The 20,623-nt window shown below is 46.9% G+C and overlaps 4 annotated features.

The window, feature by feature from the left end:
* Window positions 11,986-12,155: an enhancer, noted in NCBI's record as "active region_28563". NCBI's record gives its function as "activates an Ori minimal core promoter by ATAC-STARR-seq in GM12878 lymphoblastoid cells {active_cell/tissue: GM12878}" and the evidence as "EXISTENCE:reporter gene assay evidence [ECO:0000049][PMID:35858748]".
* Window positions 12,196-12,265: an enhancer, noted in NCBI's record as "active region_28564". NCBI's record gives its function as "activates an Ori minimal core promoter by ATAC-STARR-seq in GM12878 lymphoblastoid cells {active_cell/tissue: GM12878}" and the evidence as "EXISTENCE:reporter gene assay evidence [ECO:0000049][PMID:35858748]".
* Window positions 12,276-12,325: an enhancer, noted in NCBI's record as "active region_28565". NCBI's record gives its function as "activates an Ori minimal core promoter by ATAC-STARR-seq in GM12878 lymphoblastoid cells {active_cell/tissue: GM12878}" and the evidence as "EXISTENCE:reporter gene assay evidence [ECO:0000049][PMID:35858748]".
* Window positions 12,376-12,465: an enhancer, noted in NCBI's record as "active region_28566". NCBI's record gives its function as "activates an Ori minimal core promoter by ATAC-STARR-seq in GM12878 lymphoblastoid cells {active_cell/tissue: GM12878}" and the evidence as "EXISTENCE:reporter gene assay evidence [ECO:0000049][PMID:35858748]".

Genomic DNA, 20,623 nt, shown 5'->3' on the forward strand with positions numbered 1-20,623 from the left:
GTGGGTGCCACTTGCCTCTTAATCAGTGTTGGGTAGGAGTAGAACTTGCTACGGGCAACCTGTTTCCCCACCTGCTGCACTCCTGTATTATGACATGAGGTTTTTAAAAATAAGTACAAACTTATCTGAAAGGAAGTTGGTCCTTCCTGGCCCTTCAGCATAGTTTTAGCTGCTCCTGTTTTGTTCTGTTATCATTATTCTTCCACTCTCCTATTTTGTGCCGAAGTAATAAGATGTTTCCATGGGAGTATGCATTTGTCCCAATAAAAGGACTTTTAGTGAACCAATAGAACAAGTCCCCCAAACCCACCTCCAAGTCGCAATGATAGTCTCACCATGCAAGAGGAAAGGTGGTTTTAGGTGCAGCAGCTTATGGGGTGAGACTTGGGAATGAGGCTCCTGCGTCTTACATGGCACCCACTCATGCCTGCTGTGCAAGTCAATTTCTATGTCTGCCCCCAGGCAATGTCCAGCCACCTACTGATCGTATGTGATGGGGGGTGAGGAGGAGATACTTTGCATGGCCCCCAGTGACAAAGAAGAGGCCCTTAGCTATAGCTACTCTTGTGTGAGTACAGGGGAGGATTTCTCAAGGAGCAGAAATAGCTTCTCCTTGAACGTATTTGGCAATTTTCAAAGGCATATCAGATGCCAGAAAATTAATGCAAAGAGTTTATGTTGGCAAAAAGGCATTTGGTTGAATACAAACTCACCTGGATTTTTCCTTTCTGTAAATGGGAAGAGACTGTGGCTTTTCTTTTCTAGGAGCACCAGGAAGGGTTGGCTGTTCCCAGGTGAGAGGGTGGCAGCCAAGCCTTCCCAGTGGCTCACACCACCTCCTGCTCCCTTCCACCACCAACCCTCTGGGGAGCGCTCTGCCTGGGGGCTTCCCTCAACCTCCCTGCTCCCTTCCCCCTCAAGGACATAATGACTGAGCCCCTGTTGCTCTGTCACAGTTAAACTAACTTCACTTCTAAATATTCACTTGGGCAAAAATATTCTCTTTAATATTTTTCTTCTCATTTTTTTTCTCTTTGAAATCTTATCTAACTACTTGAGTAAAACCTGTCTTCCTTTTCTCACTCAATTCTATTTTTGAATCAGAATATTACTCCTATCATGGTTTAAGTATAGGACTGACACACCACCTCAAAGCATGTCAGGAATTGAAAGCATCTTCTTTTTTATATTTGATACAAAATGTATCCTGGTCTTGCTGTCTGCTGCTGGCCCCGTGCTAGTTTAGAGGACAACTTCTCTTCACTGAGGACAACACAGAATCCTGGAGATATTTTTGATGAGTAGTGTAAGTCATTTCCACTATCAATAGCTAAGTAAATGTTATGAATCTTTTCTGTAATACCACCATAATTCAAGTAGTTCTGAAATAAAAATAAAGTAAGGTAATGAAGAACTATCCATCACTAAGTAAGGAGGTTTTCTTCTGAGGCCAATAGACTTGTACGTACACATATGAATGTTAATTTTAATTTTGTGGGCAGAGTGTCATTTGTCCATCTAGTACCTATCTCTTTTTTTCTTCCTTAGCCACAGAACCCTTGTTTTATTGAAATAACAATGAGTCCAGCTACAAAATTCAAATTTCTCAGCCCCCATTGCAGACACTTGTGACTGTGCTAAATTCTGGCCACTGAGATTTAAGTAGCAGATGTTGGCTGAGGCTTCCAGGAAAGCCTCTTAAAAGAGGGAAAGGCAACTGGCACATTCCCCTTAGTCCTCTCGCCTTTATCTTTCTTCCTGTCTGGAATGCAGACATGATGGCTTAGGCTTCAGCAGTCCATGAAGTAGTCTTGAGGTCAGAAGTAACTCGCTGAGGATGGTGAAAGAACTTTAGAAGGAACCTGGGACTTCCTTCTTTGGACTTCCTTCTTTCTTTCTTTCTCTTTCTTTCTTTCTTTCTTTCTTTCTTTCTTTCTTTCTTTCTTTCTTTCTTTCTTTCTTTCTTTCTTTCTTTCTTTCTTTCTTTTTTTTTCTGGAGATGGAGTTTAGCTCTTGTCGCCCAGGCTGGAATGCAATGGTGCAATCTCGGTTCACTGCAATCTCTGCCTCCCAGATTCAAGTGATTCTCCTGCCTCAGCCTCCTGAGCAGCTGGGATTACAGGCACCCGCCACCATACCTGGCTAACTTTTTTGTATTATTAGTAGAGACGGGGTTTCACCATGTTGGCCAGGCTGGTCTTGAACTCCTGACCTTATGTGATCCACCCGCCTCAGCCTCCCAAAGTGCTGGGATTACAGGCTTGAGCCACCAGGCCTGGACTTCTTTATATGAGACAAAAATAATCCCTCTCTTCTTTAAGCTGCTATCAGGTCACTCTAGTTCCATGTAGTTGAATTTGATCCTAGTTAAAACATTCCACTGTACTCAAAAGCAAGAAATGTCACATTATTTTTCTAAATGACAAAAAAACATATTTATAAGTCCCACTAAGCTGACTGGTAAGAAATTCAGTCTCAGCATGTGCAGCTGGCTCCCATGTGTACCTCTGGGCCTGACACCGTGCCCAGGAAACACAGTAAGGGACTATGGTATTTGGCCCATCAGGATGGCTGCTAAGATGCCCATGCAGAGGGAGACAGAGCTTCCGGGTTTGATGTGGGCACGGAAGTCTTTGTCTGGGTCTGCAGCCTGGGCAGCCCAGTCCAGCCCTCTGGGTGTACAAGGCAGCCATGTCTCTCCCCTTGGGGTCCTATGAGTTCCAGCACTGACCTCGACCTCCCCAAGAGGCTCCCCCAGACTCACACCCCTTCCCAGAATCAGGGATATCCCCAGTCTCCAGGCCAACCCCTCTGCCTCCATGTTTCCAAATTCTCCTCGTTCCCTGCCCTCCTTCCTGTCACTCTTGGGGAAAGAGGCTCTTGAACCACAAAGGGCCTCTCCTGAAGGCAGGTGGGCATGAAGAAAGGGGATGCCCACCCTCAGAGGGGGGCCTCTCCTTGTCCTCCTGTTCACTTGTGTGTAAGTGTTTTCCTGTGGGAGACGGGGACCACTTTCCAGACTAACAAAGGTTTCTGTGAACCAAGAAGATAGAGTGTGGAAGAGGCTTAAAAGTCTCTTTCAGAATCTCCACATCAGCATCTCCTGCTTAGACCTGTTCTTATTTCCATGGAGTATAGGTTATAAAGGATACAAGCTTAGAAAGTCAAAAGACAAAACAAAGACAGAATGAAAGGCAAAGTAGAAAGTGGAAAGATTGGATCTGAATGCAGGAGAAGAAAGGAAATGAGTACTGATTGGAGCAAATAGCCAATGCCTGGGTTTATTTGGCAACAACAGCATGACTGATAAGAGTCATGGTCAGAATGAAATCACTAGTGATTATTTGCCCTTTATACCAATAAGTTAAAATTACTATAGATTTTGCCATATCACAATGCTATAAAAAAGCAGATTATCACTTAAACAGACGTCTGATCTCTTGCATTCTGAAATCAGGGACCAAGTGGAGTTTGATAGTGAGTAATACATGCATATAAGTCCTCATAGAATTTTAGCAGTGGCCTCTAACTTGAAATTAAGACGTTTAAGTCTTCAAATATTAAAATCACTGCAGAGTCTAGTCACGGGGTATATCAGCCACAATTTCTAATCATTGTAATGCAATCGACAATTTGCTCTTCAGAAAACACCACCTCTCTGTTTTCTCATCTGCAACATGGGAGGCCCCATTAGCATTAATAATTTAATATGCGTCCGAGCTTGGAGGAGGCAGAGAGCCTATAGAGGCAGGCTTTGTTGTTGCTGCTCTTATAATAATGATGATTGTGTCTGAGGCGCCTGGGTGTGTGTGGACTCAGGGAGGTCACGTTCTGACGGGCTGACTCCCTGAAACTTTCCGCCTGGCACTGGTGCCTGCCCAGGGAATGGGTTGTGGAGTTCAGGCCTGTTTGGGTTTGTAGCATGTAATGATAGTTTCAGGGCAACTGGTGTTGTTGAATTTGGAGCTGGGTCTTGGGCGTTCACCATCTGATTAATTTGCCCATCTGACTCACTCACCTGCCAAGAGAGTCAAGAACCACGTCTGTAACAGGGGAAATTGGAATCACTTGTTTCAGGCAAATTTATCCAAAGGCCTTATTTTCTCAAAGTGCTACCTGCAGTTGCATTGGAAGAAAGCCCAGTGTGGCTCCTCTGAGTCAAGTGCTGCATCCTTTTTTTTTTTTTTTTCCTCCTGGGCTACTGTACTTCTTTGTAAAAAGAAGAAAATTAGTTAATGGAATGAGCTTGTTAACACATTGCACTAGGGCTGCAAGAAAAGTCATGGTTGAATCAAATAATGATCTTAAGCTTGTGCTCTTAGATGAGAGAGAAATACATTGAAAGAGGATGTGCTTGACCTCTGCAGACTGAGCCTGGCCAGGTCCCTGCCAGGAGCGTCACCTTCACCTGGCCCCTCACTAGCTGTCTGCTGTCTTCTTACAATGCTGGTGTGTCTGTAAGTGAAGTGTGGGAGTGTGCTCAGCTAGAGACCATTTTGACATAAAAGCATATGAAGTTGATGGAAAGTGCTGGATTCTTTGTGCTCAGGTCTACTGTGATCTGTAAAGCCCCCAGAGAATTCTGAGCTCAATTCTTTCCATCCCACCTGCACAATCTGATGTCTGGCTTTGCTGTGACCACAGGGCACAGATTTCCCTTTGTGAAAAGGGCTCCGCAGGAGGCAGCCAGGAGGGAGCTGAGCCAATGGGCAGTTGGGTCACATGTGTGAAGTAGGGGTGAGTGGATGTGAACAGTCCTGTAAATGGATGGTACCTGTGGATGGTGTCAGGTCACAGGAGGAACACAAAAGGGATAAAAGGGGGAAAGCACATTGAAAGGTGGAGGCTGAACTGGAGAAGGTCCTTTTAGCTGAAGCTGCCCGTACCCTGCCCATAGCCTCTGGCTCTTGGCCTGAGGGGTTTCTCTGGATGCTGGAGCCCTCAGATCCTGCACAGAGAAGGCCTGAAGTGCAGGGGAGTTAGTGCCCCCATCCCACATGAGAACAGGCTCCAGTCCATGAGTCATGAGAAGGGAGCTGGGAGCCCAAAGCCTAGGTCCCAAGCCGGCCATGGGAATGACTGGGACAGCTGAAGGTAACCTGCAATAATATGCCTTCCAGCCAGGGCTGTGCTGATCAAGGAGTCTCACTGGCTCTCCAGAAGAGCACAGAAGTCCTAATTTGTAGCCTTTGCTGACTTCCGTGATTCCAGTTCCCTCACTGACGGCAGAGTCGGGAGGAGGAGCCGTGATGCTGACATGCCACACCGGGTCAAGGTCAGCACCAAGCTGGAAGTTTTAATATAATGTGTTTAGTTGTAACTTTGTATAATTTAATTTTCAACAATAGACAACTTTCACAAACAGCTTAGAAAAATCCTGAAATTGTCCCAAGCGGGCTGGGCTCTGTGCTTCGTCCCTGCTCAGCAATTCCTCCCTCACTCAGGGCCCCAAGGGCCCCTCCTCCGTTAAGTGCTGTCTCCGACTGTTGCCTTCCCAGAGGGACTTTCAACAGTCTCTCAGTCGTGTGACCTACTTTGTCTACTGAAAGCCAGCAGGTGGTACAGATCCATCCTGCTCCACTCTCTGTTTCTCCTTCCCTGGAAACGAGTGGCACCTCTGGTCCTCACAAGGGCCACACTCAGCTCTAGCGGCTGCCTCACTGTCAGCTCCACGCAGCCCTCAGCCACCGGCTTCCAGTCATGGAGATCCACTGTAGCCTGCACCTGAGCCGTGCCCAGGGCTGGAGCACAGCAAGGGCTGGAGAGGGCATGAGTGTGAGCGTGTGTATGTGTGTATGTGCAGGTGTGTGTCTGTGTATGTATCTGTGACTGTGTGTGAGCAGGTATGTGTGAGTTATGAGGAAGTGTATGTGTGTAAGTGTGTATAAGGGTATGTATGTGTGTGGCATGTGTGCGTGTGTGATTGTGTATATGTGATTGTGTGTGAGGGTACATAAGGGTGTGTGTATTAGTGTGTATGAGGAATGTGTATATGGGGTGTGTGTGTCATTGTGTATACGTGAGTGTGTATGTGAGTGTGAGCATGAGTGTTAGAGTATATGCATTCGTGTGTATGGGTATGTTGTATATATGTTTGTGTGCATGTGGGATTGTGTGAGCATGAGTATGTGCCCATGAGTGTGTGTGTATGATTGTACATGGCTGTGTGCATGCATGTGTATAAGTATGAGTGTGTAGGTGTGTGTGTGTGAGTGTGTAAGGGAGTGTGTGAACATATGTATAAGAGTATGTATATGTGAGTGTGACCATGAATGTGTGAGAGTATATCCATGAGTGTGTATGGGTATGTGTGTGAGTATGAGTGAGTGATTGTGTGTATATGAGTACATGCATGAGGGTATGAGTGTGTCTGTGATTGGGGGTGTATGATTGTGTATGTGTGTGTGCATGCATGTGTATGAGAGTGTGCAAATGTGTATGTGTGTGTGGCCTCAGCACCTCTGCCTCCTTTCTTTAGCAATAGCACCCCACTTTTCTTGGGGTACATACCCCACATGATCCCTGCAAGCTGCCAGTCCAGATTGCCTGACACCCTGGGAGGCAGAGTCCTGACTCCTGCAGGGGAGCAGGAAATTCAAGGGCAGCAGTGGCAGAGGCCAAAGGGGAGTGTCCCTTACTTGAGCCACCTGTGTCACCAGGGCCCAGAGCGTCTTCATGTGATCCTCGAGCTCTCCTGAGATAGAAGCTTTCTAATGTCATTTTATAAATTCCTTTCCTGCTTAAGTCAGCTAGGGAGGCAGGCTGTTTGCAAATACGAGCTCTATTACATAACTGTCTTGTGAAGGGGCCCCTGCTGTTCCACTAGAATTGTGAAATTATTTCCTGATGGTGGCCTGACAGGGCAAAGGGCAGATTAGGTCTCGTCACTGTCGGGGAGGGGCAGAGGGCCAGGCTTGTGGCTAAGAGACAGAAACTGCAAGGACACTGTCTCAACAGGATTTCTCCCAAAATCCATGTATGGGATCAATCCAATAACCAGGGTAAGGATGACAGTTGTAGACAGATAGAGGAAAGAATCCCTGGAATCCAAGAAGCATGTGACACCTTATCTTGCTAACAAAAGCAATGCACCCTGACCACATACTGTGCACCAGGCCTGAGATACTACATTACTGAACCATCGCAGCACCTGGAAAATAGATTTTTAAAAGGCCCTTAGTATCTCCATGTCCAGTCAGTACCCCTCATTCAGAAGACCTCAGGTGCACAGAGGTTACACAGAAACACGCAGGTCAGTGGTGGAGCGGGGAATGAATGAGGACGGCCCCACTCCAGAGTAGCCAAGTCTGAATCTCTGGGGGAGGAGCCGGGAATCTGCATTCTAGCAATCACTCGCACAGCCCTTTATGCACCTGTCTGAAAACCACTGCCTTATGCAGAGAGCTGGATCAGTGTGCTGTGAAACACAGGTTGATTTCTGTGTTCTCTGCATCTGACTTCTGAGGGATCTGGTTAGAATACTAAGAAACATAAATGGTGGGCTCCATGGATCCGTCCTGCCCTGCATGCCTGGGAAAGTTCTCCCACAGCACAGGCTGTGGCCTCCCACAGAGCCGTCTCATCTGAACATTAGCCTCACAGGCTGCTTGGGTATGGGGAGAACTTGCTAGAATCCTCCTGGAACATGTGACCTGTTGTCCAGGATCCATAGCTACGGACTCCGCATCAGCTGTGGGAGCCGCTCAGTGTGAACCAGGCTCAAAGAACACTGCGTAGAGAGCTGCCCACGTTTGTTTACGCACGGTTTGTTGTGTTTCCAGAATGAAAGGAACAGGACATACAGGGTGGACAAAACCGACAGGGGCAGCTATGTCATTTCAGACGAAAACAAGCCTTTTCGGAAACATTCAAATACTAGATGATTATGGCTTTCCACGGACAATGTCTCTCTACTTCTGTCTGCAAACATCCCCAGGGACTGAAAGCATCTTGAAGCCTGCCTCCCCAGATTAGGGAGTCACTGACAGGGCAGAAGTCACATTTTGAATGTGTGTTTTATCGGCACTTCACAGAGGATGAGACAAAGGCACAGATATCTGACACTGCGGCTGTGCCTCCGTACCCCCGCTGTCAGTGACCGCCTCACCCTTCAGGATGGCCCCGTAGACTCACACACTACTGCTCCATTCTGCTTTGGTCTTGATGTTTTTGTTCTGTGTTTCATTTTCAGTGTCTTTGGCTGCTCTTGGGGTCTCCTCTTTCCCTCAGGCAGGGGCCGAAGGGCAGGCAGGGGGGTGTTGGGCCCAAGGGGGCCAGCTGGTGAGGACAGCCCCGCCTGCCCTGGTGGTCTCGCCTCTCCTCAGTGGGCTCATCACATTCACAGAGGTTCTTCGTGCCTCCCTCACTTTGTTGCCACAACAAGAAAGATTTCACTCCGTCTCTATTTTAAAGAGAGCTGGAGACATCAAGTGGCTGGCTGTGGTCACCCAGCCCCAACCCTGGGTCTCATTGGTGTAGGACCCCGTGTTTATCTTCCTGTCATTTCATCTTCCCCCTACTCCCGCCAACACCTTCTATTTAATCTTTCCCCCAGCTCTTCCTCCTTCTTGCACAACTGAGGTGCCTGTGAGGGGCTGGATGTGGGAGGTGGGTGACACCTCAAACAGTAATTTCCAGAAGCATTTTAGATGCAACCTCGGAGTCTTCAAAGGAGCACTGGGCAATTTTGCTTGGAGAGGGGGTGGAGGCGGGTAAAGGATCTCTGTATTTTCATCCCCTGGAACTGGCTGGAACTGGCTGGAACTGGCTGCCTGTTGGATGTCCCTGGAGGTGTGGCATCCTTTGCATGTCAACATCAGGATTTGGCTCTTGTCTCTGCCCCGGGCCTGACTCCCTGCTGCCAATGCCTGTGGTCTGGATGCACTTGCTGCGAATTGCCCAGGTGGCAGTGGTGGAGCAGAGTCTGCTGGGAGACACAGCAGGAAACATACAGCATCATGGGGTCCCAGGTGTGACGGCTGGGCATGGTGTATTTGTGAGAAGAGGCTCCAGACCTGGGGTCTGGGCTCTGGAGATGTGGGTGGGGCACAGGTGGCAGGAAAAGGATGGGTGAGCCCAGGTCCACCTGGCCTATGGAGGTCTTAACTTCCTAGACCTATCCAAACCTCTCTGTAGTGATAAATGCCATGGAAATGTTCTGGGGACTGCCGGGGAGTGGGATGGGAGGGTGGAGGGGGCTGTCTTCCACAGCCAAGAAGGAGACATAGTAGAGACCCTTGGATTCAGGCTTAAAGAATAACTAGGGGCATTGGCCTTCTTAGAGAGGACACAGGACTTTGTCTGACTTTGCACTTGTCTGGTGTCATTGCAAGTGGCAATTCTCAATTCTCAGTTCTCCAGTTATCCGGCGCCACCTGGGTGTCCAACAAGTTCATGCCATGAACACTGGAGGTGAAGGGCTCTGTCCTATGACTCTGCCCCACAGCAGACACCAGCCACAAGGCCCAAGGGTCATCCGGCTGTGAAATCAGGGGCTCCTATGACCTTCTCCCAGGCTTAATCCCTTGCTAGAATGAGTCACAGAATGCAGGGCAGCACTCTACTTACAATTATGGTTTTGTTATGAAAGATAAACTCAGGAGTGGCCAAATGCAAGAGAAGCATAGGAGAAGGTATTGGGGAAACAAGTGTGGAGTTTCCCTGTCCTCTCAGTGCACAGCTCCCCACTTCATGTGGATGCTTCTACCACCCTGGAAGCTCCCCAAACCCCTTTGTTTGGGGATTTTGTGGAGGTTCCATGATGTAGGTGTGATTGATACATCATTAGCCATTAGTGACTGACTCAGTCTCCAGCTGCTCCCCCCCTCTCTGGGTTGGGGATGAAGTGGCATCATGGTTGGTCTTTTTGGCCACTAGCCGCCATCCTGAAACTGTCTAGAGTTCAGCCACCCACCATCTCATTAGCACACAGAAAACAGCAAACTCCCAGGGTTCCAGGAGCTGTGTGCCAGTCTGGGATGAAAAGAGATCAGGAGGTAGATGGATGAACAGGGGCATTTTCCTGATCTATCCCCAGCACCAGGCAGAGCCCCCTTGTTGTCCTCAAAAAACAGGCTGTGAAGGCAGAGGCAAGGCTCCTCGTGGGGTTCCAGGTGTGGAGGTGCTGCAGACCACCTGCAATTCCAAGGGGGCAGATGCTGCCAGGGACATAGATCGCCCAAGAAAACCTTGGGCTACTGTTGCCTGACTGAAGGACCCTGGGTGTGAGCAGGGCTCTGCTCAGAGGGCCTTGAGCCCTCTCAGGCCATCCCTGACCACATTGCAGCCTCCACTAGCCCCGCATCAGGTTCTGGCCCTGCCCAGAGCCACCTCCCTGTGGTGGGGATGAGACATCCCAACTTCTCTCAGACCTGGGAGGCCACCCAAGGTCTCAGGTTGGGAAGGCCGCCTTAAAAGATGCTTGGCTTCCAGTTCTTAATCTTAGAGGATTTGGGGGAGGAACCAACAGTGTATTGTGTGTAGTGTGGTGTGTGTGTGTTGTGTGGTGCATGCATATAAGTGTGGCATGTAAGTATATGTGTGCTTGGTATATGCATATGGATGGATGTATATTGTGTTTATGTATGGGACACCTGGTTTGTAATATTTGTCATTGTCTGTGGTATAAATCCTCCCATGACAGCCAATGGAAAGCTAATGCCATGTCACCAAAAACAGAGTTGGAAAGGGTGTGCAGAGCCACTACCTTAAGTACGATGACGTACATATATCACCAGACAGATAAACAGACACGCAGCCTAGAGAACACTGATAATAACACAATGTGGGGGTTATTATCTTGAATTTTAATATAATTTATTTTATTGCAAATCTATTCATTTTAATTTTTAATAATGGCTGTGTGTAACAACTGGTCCCGAAATTCACAGACATTTGGCAATCGACCCCATCAAGGGGGTACGGGTTGGCCTAGACCACCCTGGATTCCTTCTCCGGCTGCGTTCTGTGGCCAATGTACTGAGCCCTGCCGGCCTCCTTCCTCAAGAAGCTGGAAATCTGGTAGGAGCTGGAGATGGTTTCACTGGGGTCCCCAGGCTCACCACCCATGGGGCTGCAGAGGGAGTGGTGGAGATACACATGGAGGCCTCCTGGCTCTGGGAGTAGCTTCACACTCATACTCGGGGAATTGTTCTAATGGCTCAGGCTTGAGGCACCACATGCAGTTTTTTTTTTTAAAGTATGGTATTAATTTATACTTGTCTGTTGTTTATCCAATAAATGGCGTTCCAAATAGCAGGGCACTAGCCTGAACGGGAGAGGAGTGTGGATTCTGTTCTAAGCATGTTACAGCATCTGCTTTCATACTCATGCATATGCACACATGCATATATGTATATCCATGTCTACCTCAGGCGTGGGCACTTGCTGACTTATCAGGCATAGCCAAAGATAAAAGGCAACACTATGCTCCATGGAGGATGAATCTCACTTGGGTAATAAAATGACAAAGAAAACTAGAGAACTAATGGCCATAAGACTCAGCCCAGCTGTGCCCCAGGAGGGAGGAGAGATTTGGGAGTGGGGTTCTGTAGGGGGGTGGGAAGGCTCTAGAGTGGGTGCTGGGGGTTACAAGCATTTTTGCCTTATAGGACTTCATTAAACTTCATGTTTGCTTTATGCAGCTTCCTGTACTTGTGGGACATTTACTGTTAAATATATACTTTCATATATATGTGCAGATATACCTCAATATATATGTATATATATGTCTGTATGTGTGTGTTGTATGTACACACACATACACAGAGACATTACAGACATGTACTCACTCTCTTTCACCTGAGTTGGCAGAAAGTTTTGTTGCTGGGCCCTGCTGAGATAACCGGTTTGCCCAGTGGCTTGCTGGCCTTGCCAGGCTGTGCTGAGCTGTTCTGCGATGGCTGGCAGGCGCTGCCTGGGCTAGAACTGGTAGTAGAGCTCCAGGTTTTAAATGGACCTAGGGGGATCAGCCCAGGGTTCCATGCAGGTTTAGCAGGTAGGGTGTAGCAGGCCACAGCTCTGAGAAGGCTCTGACCTGGCAAATGCTCACGGACTTGAGGCCTGCCCTGCCTGACAGCGGCTCTGATTTCCTGACCTGTGCACAGGAGCTGGCTGAGGGGCAGCCCCTGCAGGCTTAGAGTTTTCTGGTGAAAAGTGTTGTGGCAAAAGGAGCTTGAGCTGGTCCCCCAGTACCTCTGGGCCATGTGGGGCCTTCCCCCTCCCGAGGAGAGGGGCATGACTGAGATGTGCCCTCTGCCCCAGGGAGGCACACACCAGGGCAGGGCTAGGAGACACTCAGCCTCAGTAGCCACTTTCCAGTCAAGGGCCTGGGGTCACAGAAACCTCAGGGCTCCTTCCTGTAAGTCGGGGTGGTTCTCAGCAGCAAGCTTTCACTTTCCATGCCTGGCTGGGACAGCTGGGTATTGAGACTGAAGAGACAGCCCACCTCTCCTTCTGCCCAGAAAGTGAAAATGCCTGAGAAGGCGCTGGGAGTGACTGGGGACAGCCAGATGAAGGTCCAGTTCTGGTGTCGGGTCCCTGAGGAGGGAGCTCTGTGGACTGGCTCCGTAGCACATGCTCCTGGGGCTTGCCTGGCACCGGTGCAGGGATCAAGGTCGGAGTCCACTGGCTGCTGGGAAGGCTGGCATTGGAGTTACACTAAGGCGCTGAGCAGCGTTAGGCACTCAAAATCTATTTTAAGCCTTGTGTAAACATGCATGAGGCGAAGTCTCCCTCTCCCTGCTGCTCCTGCAGAAAGAGCTGTCCTTTGCATTGCCAACTTCTCAGGGTTCTTGTGGAGGTTAAGCAAGTGCTGTTTTGATTTTTTTCTGGAGGTGAAGTGAATTATAGCCTTGTTGTTTTAATAAGTCACAATATTTACAAGTTCATTTCTTTGAACTGTGTGTGGGGGGTTATTTTGTCTGCAATTTTGAAGGTAAATAATTTTCTGCTGTTTCACTGTCGTTTCAGCCAGATATTTTTGTTTGGTTTGGTTTTCAAAAGGAGGAGAAGGGAACTAGCTTTTATGGAAGGTCTTTGCTCTGTCCTTACCAACGCGGGAGTTGTGCTTCCATTACCTTCTTTAATCATTTTCATAAGGATTTTTGTACAAATGATGAGGAATGACGGGTGGTTTTAAATTTGTTTTTCAGAAAGAAGTAATGCATGACTCTGATTTGCGGCTGCAGGATAAATCCGAACTATTTCAGGGAGATGTCATGGAGAGCTCATCTCTCAGCATCAAAGTTGCCTCTCCTGACTTTTGAATTTTAAGTGTTCTGTGTGGAAGAAAAATGGAGACAACAAATTTCTATGCATGGATTCAAAGAATCCTCGTAATATACAGACTACATTCTCCCCAGCTTTTTATCTCTATATATTCTTTTTGTTGAGTTTCAACCACATAGGGTTGAAATTCACCTTCCCACATTACATTTTTCATCAATAGTTGAAGACCTATGTATGTAAATATCAGGAACTATCAGAACTCCCTGCAACAGGAAACCTGACCCCCAACTCCCCCGAAATGCATCATGATAAACAGTCACTTGCCAAAATAACAAATCAGCTTCCTGGAACATGCTTGCTCAAAACCAGGAGAGGAGCTTAGAGACGTCAGCTTGACTTCTGCCTCGTACGCAGGAAGGGTGACCTTCAAAGATCAAACATCGTCCCAAATCTCCCTTCATCTTGTAGTACTCCTGCTTGTCGTAGCTCCTGTTACCATCAGGTACTGGGCCAACCATCCGTCATGTCAGAAGAGAGTTGGGGACAATCCCTGGATTATTTCACCTTTGCCCTGCTGGTATAGACAATGTGTGTTATGGCTGGGTGACTTGCTGACTTTTACTCTGAGCAACAGCTTTGTCAGAGTAAACTAAAACAGAGACTTCAGAGCATAATAAAATATGACATTTTTTCTGTATAGAACTAAAGACACGGGGGAGAGAGAACAACTTAATTAAAAAGACAGTGCCCTTTCAGTGTCTTTTTTTTTTTTTTTTTTTTTTTTTTTTTGAGATGGAGTCTTGCTCCGTCGCCAGGCTGGAGTGCAGTGGCGTGATCTGGGCTCACTGCAACCTCCACCTCCCGAGTTCAAGTGATTCTCCTGCCTCAGCCTCCCAAGTAGCTGGGACTACAGGCACGTGCCACCACACCCAGCTAATTTTTTTTGTATTTTTAGTAGAGACAGGGTTTTACCGTGTTGGCCAGGATGGTCTCGATCTCTTGACTTTGTGATCTGCCCTTCTCTGCCTCCCAAAGTGCTGGGATTACAGGCGTGAGAGTTTGTATTAATAAAATAAGAGGAACAATACCAAGGAGAGTGCTTTGTAAGGATGTCAAGGCTGCCTGTTCCCTGCTCTACACAGCATGTCTCTGACAAAGCAGAGGCCACAGAAAGGGGCACCTGGTGGAGGGCCCAGGCAGCAGAGCACAGGCCCTGCAATTCTGGATGCTGGGGTGTCATTTCATGTTTTGAATTAGCTGTGAGCCTGGGGGCTGCCGCCGGGATCATTTCCAGCAGGGCGGTACCATTTAGTTCCTTCTGACAAAAGGGCCACTGCCCAAGATTTTCCGCGTCTGCATTCAAGTGGCAGATGAGACACGGATAATAATACACACTCCAAATCTTTTCAGGAATTCACAGTCTCTGTTTGCAATGTTATCCTGAATTTGATCACGACATGCACAGAACTGGTTTGAAAATTATTTTCCAGAAGCAATTCTTTAATAAAACTTTTTCATCTGAAAAGCAATCTAGCCAAAATGTCAACAGAGGTAGATAGGATAAAAAATAATTACTCTGGATCCCAAGCCAAGATGAACATACAAGTATTACCAAAGATTTGGGTGTGATATCGACCCCTTGCCCCTCTCCAGCCCCCTTGATCCTGGGATCCCTGCCTGTCTCTGTGCTTGCAGGCTTCTCCCCGGCAGGGACAGAGAATGTGAAGTGCCTAAATGCTTAGTGATTTCATTCCAGGGCACTTTCCTATCATCCTGGTTACTGATGCCAGAGGAAAGCAGGAAGGGTTGGGGGTTGGGTTTGCAGCATCTGATGGAGATTGTGGTTTGCAGATTGTGAATTGCTGTTTTGTTCTACAAAAATAATGAACATGGTAACCATAGAAACCTAGTAGAAAGGTGTCCAAGAGGCTAATCGACCCAGTCAAATGAGTGTTTCTCTATGATGACTTGTAGTGATCCTGTTAAATTGTGCAGGGTTTCTTTCTGGGGGGCAGCAGGAGCTGTGACAAAATGCATTTATTATGCCATCCTCACGTGTCAGACTGACAACGACTGCTGTGTTGTTGCTACGAGATGGCTGCATAACAGCACCCACAGCTGCAGGACCATTGCAACTGCTTACTTGCAACAGGTGCTGTGTTTTAGGCCCCAGACCCCAGAACTTGGATTGACAGAGGGGCCAGCTGCTTAATTTTTGGCTGGCTGTTTTTCATCTGTGGAGTGGTGCCCCTCTGAAGAGACCAGAGCATGTGAAACTCTATCCTCATGCAAAGAACACTGTCCTAATTTTTCTTTTGCTGGAGGCCGCAAGTGCCAGAGAGAAGGATAAGAAAGGCTTTGGGCCACTTGCCCCAGCTTGAAGGCCACGATGCCAAACCAACCCGGGCAGTGCCTGGAGTGTCAGGAATTTACAAGCAAAGAGTCCAAGTGCTGAGCACGTTTGACTAGTAAGGGTGTCTTTACCCCAGCTGGCAGAGTTTGGGTAAAAAAAAAAAAAAGAAACACAAAATGGCAAACAGCTCTTTGCTTTTTGGGCTTAACTTTGCATAGCAGAGTGCATTAGCTTAAAATGTCAACAGTGACCATTGCCAGATAGATGTACTTCCCAAGAAAAATACTGGGGGCAGTTTCTATTCTGGGAGAAACTTTTGGTGAACAAAAACCTCATTCCAGCGCTACTCACCACTATATTTAAGTCAAAGCGGGGGGGAAGTTTTAATAGCAAAAAGGCCCATTTAACATTTCAGCTGACTCGAAGCCCAGATTCTCCGGCAAGGTCTTTGGTGCTGGTGGTGGTCCGGACTCATGGGAGGACGCTGGGGCTTCTTCACAAGGGATTGTTCATGCCATTCAAGGATGATGCCAAAATATATATTCTCCTTTTTCAAATGTAAAATGGACACGAACTTTTGGAAAACCAGGAAAACAAACAAAAGTAATTAAGTAAAAATATGCATAATTGATATATAATCTCCCCATCGAAAACTGATGATTCTACCTATTTTTAGATGTAGTCTTTTCCCAGGGGGAAGATTTAGGGGTTCAGAAGAACTTTCTGGAAGCTGGGTCCCCATCTGAGTTGTAGTGACAACCAGGGTCAGAAGGAGAGAGGGCAGCTTAGCTGGACATTTCACAGGCAGCAGGATAAGGCCGTGCATGTGCTGCTGCAAGAGCATGCTTTGATCAAAGGAGTCTAGGAAAGCCACCATGAGTGCCTGCCTGGGAGGGACAGCTCATCCCAAGGGGACTGGAACCTCCGTGCCTCCATCTCTCCCAGATCTCACCCTTCCCCTTGGGAGCTCAATAGCTTTCTGAGTTCCATCAGAAACATGCTGTCTCCCCCAGCAAGGCAATCGGGTGCGCGTTTTGTGAGGTGAGGACTGGGAGGGGAGGCACTCTGTGAGAATAAACAGGGATGACTCTCCCCAGCTCCCGGACTGCTGGGGGCATGGCTGGAGGACTCTGTGCATTCAAGACCACCAGCTGCAGTGACCTCATGCCCAGCCATGAGGGAGAAAGCTCACGTGACCTCCCTGTCTCCCCTCGCCTGTCAAGGGCTCCCTCACACACAGAGGAGGAGTGGCACCCTGGGCTACTGATAGGACAGGTGTATAAATCTTAGCTACACACATGAGTGTGCAAAAAATGTCCTATGTCCTTATTTACTTGTTAAGTAAAATTAGATCCCAGTTCTGAATTAAATCTCAATCAGTTCTGGAGTGTCTTTCTCTGCACATATTTCTCAGGGTTCTTGAACAGAACAATGTATTTGGGGGCTCCAGGTCCTAGGCTCACACTGGGGTCCCTGAGTGATCCCTGACTCTCTGTGCCCACAGGGGCCTTGAAGTCCTCCATCTATGCTGCTTTTTAGTTACAGGAAAGATTTTTCTGGTGAGATTTCTGGGCCCAGGGGCTACCCTTCCCTAGATATTAGAGATGCAGTGTTGAACAAAATGTAGAACGAGCCTATGCCCCTGGAAGATTTTCGGTGTCGAGGAGACAGGCTAAGCACACACACAAACTGCAGACACTAAGCCATTGTCCACTAGGGACCAGAAGCTTCTGTGAGATACTGTGGTGGTGGAGGAGGTGGTGCTTTGGCAGAACCCCTAACCTCCCTGCCTTCCCCAGCTGGAAGGAGTCTCTCCTAAGTCCCAGCTTCTCACCTCATTTTTCTTTTCTCCCTCCTTCCCATTTTTGTCTCCCTCCAGAGACAGAATGTGCTATAACCTTCTGGAAACTTCTACTATTTTCCTGCAACCTGACTACCCCTTAGGTGAGGGAGTCCAGAATGCTGGCTTGAAATGGGAGAGAGAAAGAACTGCCACATAATTTGCAAGATCTTTTTTGAAAAAGAAAAGGTATTAAGAATTCCAGGACAGCATTAGGAATGTATTAAACCAGGTGAGAGACATCATATGACAGCACAGCTCATACATTCACAAACCTGATGCCAGGGAGGAAAATATGCAATGAGGAATAGTCAAAAAACACTACAGATTAATAACCCAATAAATTATCCTGATGTTTATGTACTTTTATATGTACATACAGTTTTAACGTAATTGTCATCATTTTTCATTCCCCCGATAAAAAGGAAGCTATGGAGTATGATGGTGGCCATGAAATCTGAGACTAGACTGCCTGGTTCAGGTCACACCTCCATGGTCACCATCTGTGAGCCCTTAGGCGGTGCCTCTATCTCCTCTTCTGCAAAAGGGAAACCTTGACCTCTCCTTCTCCTGGACTGAGTGGATTAGGACAGAGCAGTGCCTGGAACGAGTGGGGCTGTAGGCACTGTAGTGATGCTTCTCTGTGGGTCAGGTCTGCTCTGGCCCAGACTTACACCATTGAGCAACCCACAGAGGAGCCTGGGCTAGTGGAGCACCCACCCACAGAGCTGAGACAGGCAATGGAGACCCTCATGCAAGCCCAGGACACCTCGGGGGCTCCATTCTCTGAAGAAAACTAAGACAGGGGAAGGGGCTGCACACTCATAGGACTCTAGTAGGCATTCAGTTATTTTGTACTTTTCTTTATGTATTATCACTTTTGTGTTAAGAGTAATTCTGGAATAGTTTATATTTTGATGCTATATTTAATAGAATTTTTTTTCTCTCAATAGATATCTTGATTAGTTATACCTTAAACCTATGTTTAGTATACTTTCCTTAAATTTGTCTATTGTATAGAATTCTCTTTGTTCTATTCATTCCAATAGATTTTTATTTACCTCTCTTGGGTTTTCTAAGTGGACACATTGACTGAAAACAAGATGGCATTCTATCCTCCTGTGTAACAGTTAGAATCACCACTTAGCTTTACCTGCCACGGTGTTGCCCAGGGCATTTGCAGTCATACTAAACAGTAATGTCATGCAGAGGATCATTATTTTGTCCCCAGCTATTATTTGGAATACAAATATGTTCTGTCCATGGGCCTCTTCTCTACTCTAGCTCAGGAGTTACTTTGATAATGAGCTACACAATTCGATCTCCCACCACTATCCTTTTTGGGGAAAATTTTTACCTTTATGTTCTTTATTAAAAAGGGTTTATATTTCTCTTCCTGTTAAAAAATTATTTTAGTTTCTGAGTATTACATGCTTCACAAAATAAAGTTAGTTGATTTTATTTATTTTATATTGTGGAAAAATACATACACAGAGCACTGGAATGATAATAATAATACAAAGAATAAGAAAAAGAATAACAAAGCTAACTAAATAACTTGCCCAAAGTCAGACTGTCAATAAGTGGCAGAAATGGGATTTAGATATTTCCTTGAATGAGCTCTTCTGAGAATGAGCTCTACCTTGAAGATGATTTTTAAGAAAAGACAAAAATATGCCAGCTGCCAGAAAATTACAGAATAGAGTCCATTTCATTCAAAGAATTGTGCAGATACAACACAAATCAGAAGTTAAGAGTAATAGTTTACTTGACAATGGTTCACAGTGTCTTTTTTTGGTTTCAGAATAAGGAACAGCGGAGCTTCCCCCTAAGACCCTGGTGTGTTTCTGCATCAGGAAACCTTCTCTCCTGCAATGTGGTGAGTTGGATTTATGGCAGTTGTACCTGCTGCTTGGAAGCCAGACTGCCTGGAAATTAATCTTGACATTGACCAACTGCATAACTGTGGGGGAAATTAACCTCCAAGATTTTGCTTCCTTATCTATAAAATGGCAGTGATTATAGTGCTTGCTTCCAGGACTAAAGTGAGATAGTGCATGGGACACGCTTAGCCCAGATGCTGATCGTTAGTAAGTATCCAGTGCGGTTAACAATATCACATCTAGTATCCCCGATCATGGTTCCATCCTTCCATGGCTTTCTGGAAAGGTTAGCAGTGGTACTAATGGTGAATGGGTTTTGGGTCCTGGAGTCCTCTGATAATTTGATGAGCATTTACATGATCTGAGTAGAAAAGAAAAGTGCATGTGAACACAGGCATCTCATTTCTTTTCAGAAGATTCAAATTCTGCATTAAGAACCCACAACTAAGTAAGTTCATGGTTCCTTCTTTCACGTGTCTGGTTAAATAATTCTCAGATGTTAGGATGACTGGGACACTGGGGTTCCACTTCCCCAGGACATTGAATTTGTAACAAATATCTCATGTGCTTCCATATAGTTAAATCTGGCTGCTTCAGATGCTGACTTCATTCCTCACTTCATCTTACACCCCTGCCTGATTTTCCTTCTGCTTTACTTATATCGTCTATTTTTATTTTATTCTCATTGCCAATGTTGTGGCCATGTTTGTAAGCCATCTTAAATCCCTTGTGGGAGGCAGAGAGCAACGACGTGGAGTATTAAACAAAATACTCACACATTCCACTGCCTCTGCGGGCAGGGCCAGGTGGAGCCACAGTTGTTCTCTCTACTGTGAGGCTGCAAGGCCTGGAGGTGGGTTTCGGTGAATTCCTAAGCTAGTTCCCCTGCTTTCCTGGTGCTAATGACTTCACTGGAGCTAACCAGAGAGCAGCCGCTGTGGAGTCTTGCTGCTGCCTGTTTTCCTCTCATGTTTGATAGAGGATTTCTACTATGATCCCTCCAGAGACCATGGCCTGCTGGCTGTGTCCCCACACTGGTTTCTGGGTTTCTGGTCCCACCATTTGTCAGATGAAGTGTTACTTGTGGTCAGCATTTACCAGTCAAGCTGGGCTGGGGATCCACACAGGCTATGGCGTTTTCTGGTCATAGAGAAGCCCTAGAAGCCAATAATTCCTCATGTATTAGTCAGGGTTCTCCACAGAAACAGAAACAGAAGCAACCGGATCTCTCTCTCTCTCTCTCGCTCTCTGTCTCTCTCTCACACACACACCATACATATTTTTGTTTTGTAACTCATTTTGTTTTGTAAACTAGGGTTA

The sequence above is a fragment of the Homo sapiens genome, chromosome 9 (genome assembly GCF_000001405.40).
Source record: "Homo sapiens chromosome 9, GRCh38.p14 Primary Assembly".
In the NCBI taxonomy this organism is placed as follows: domain Eukaryota; kingdom Metazoa; phylum Chordata; class Mammalia; order Primates; family Hominidae; genus Homo; species Homo sapiens.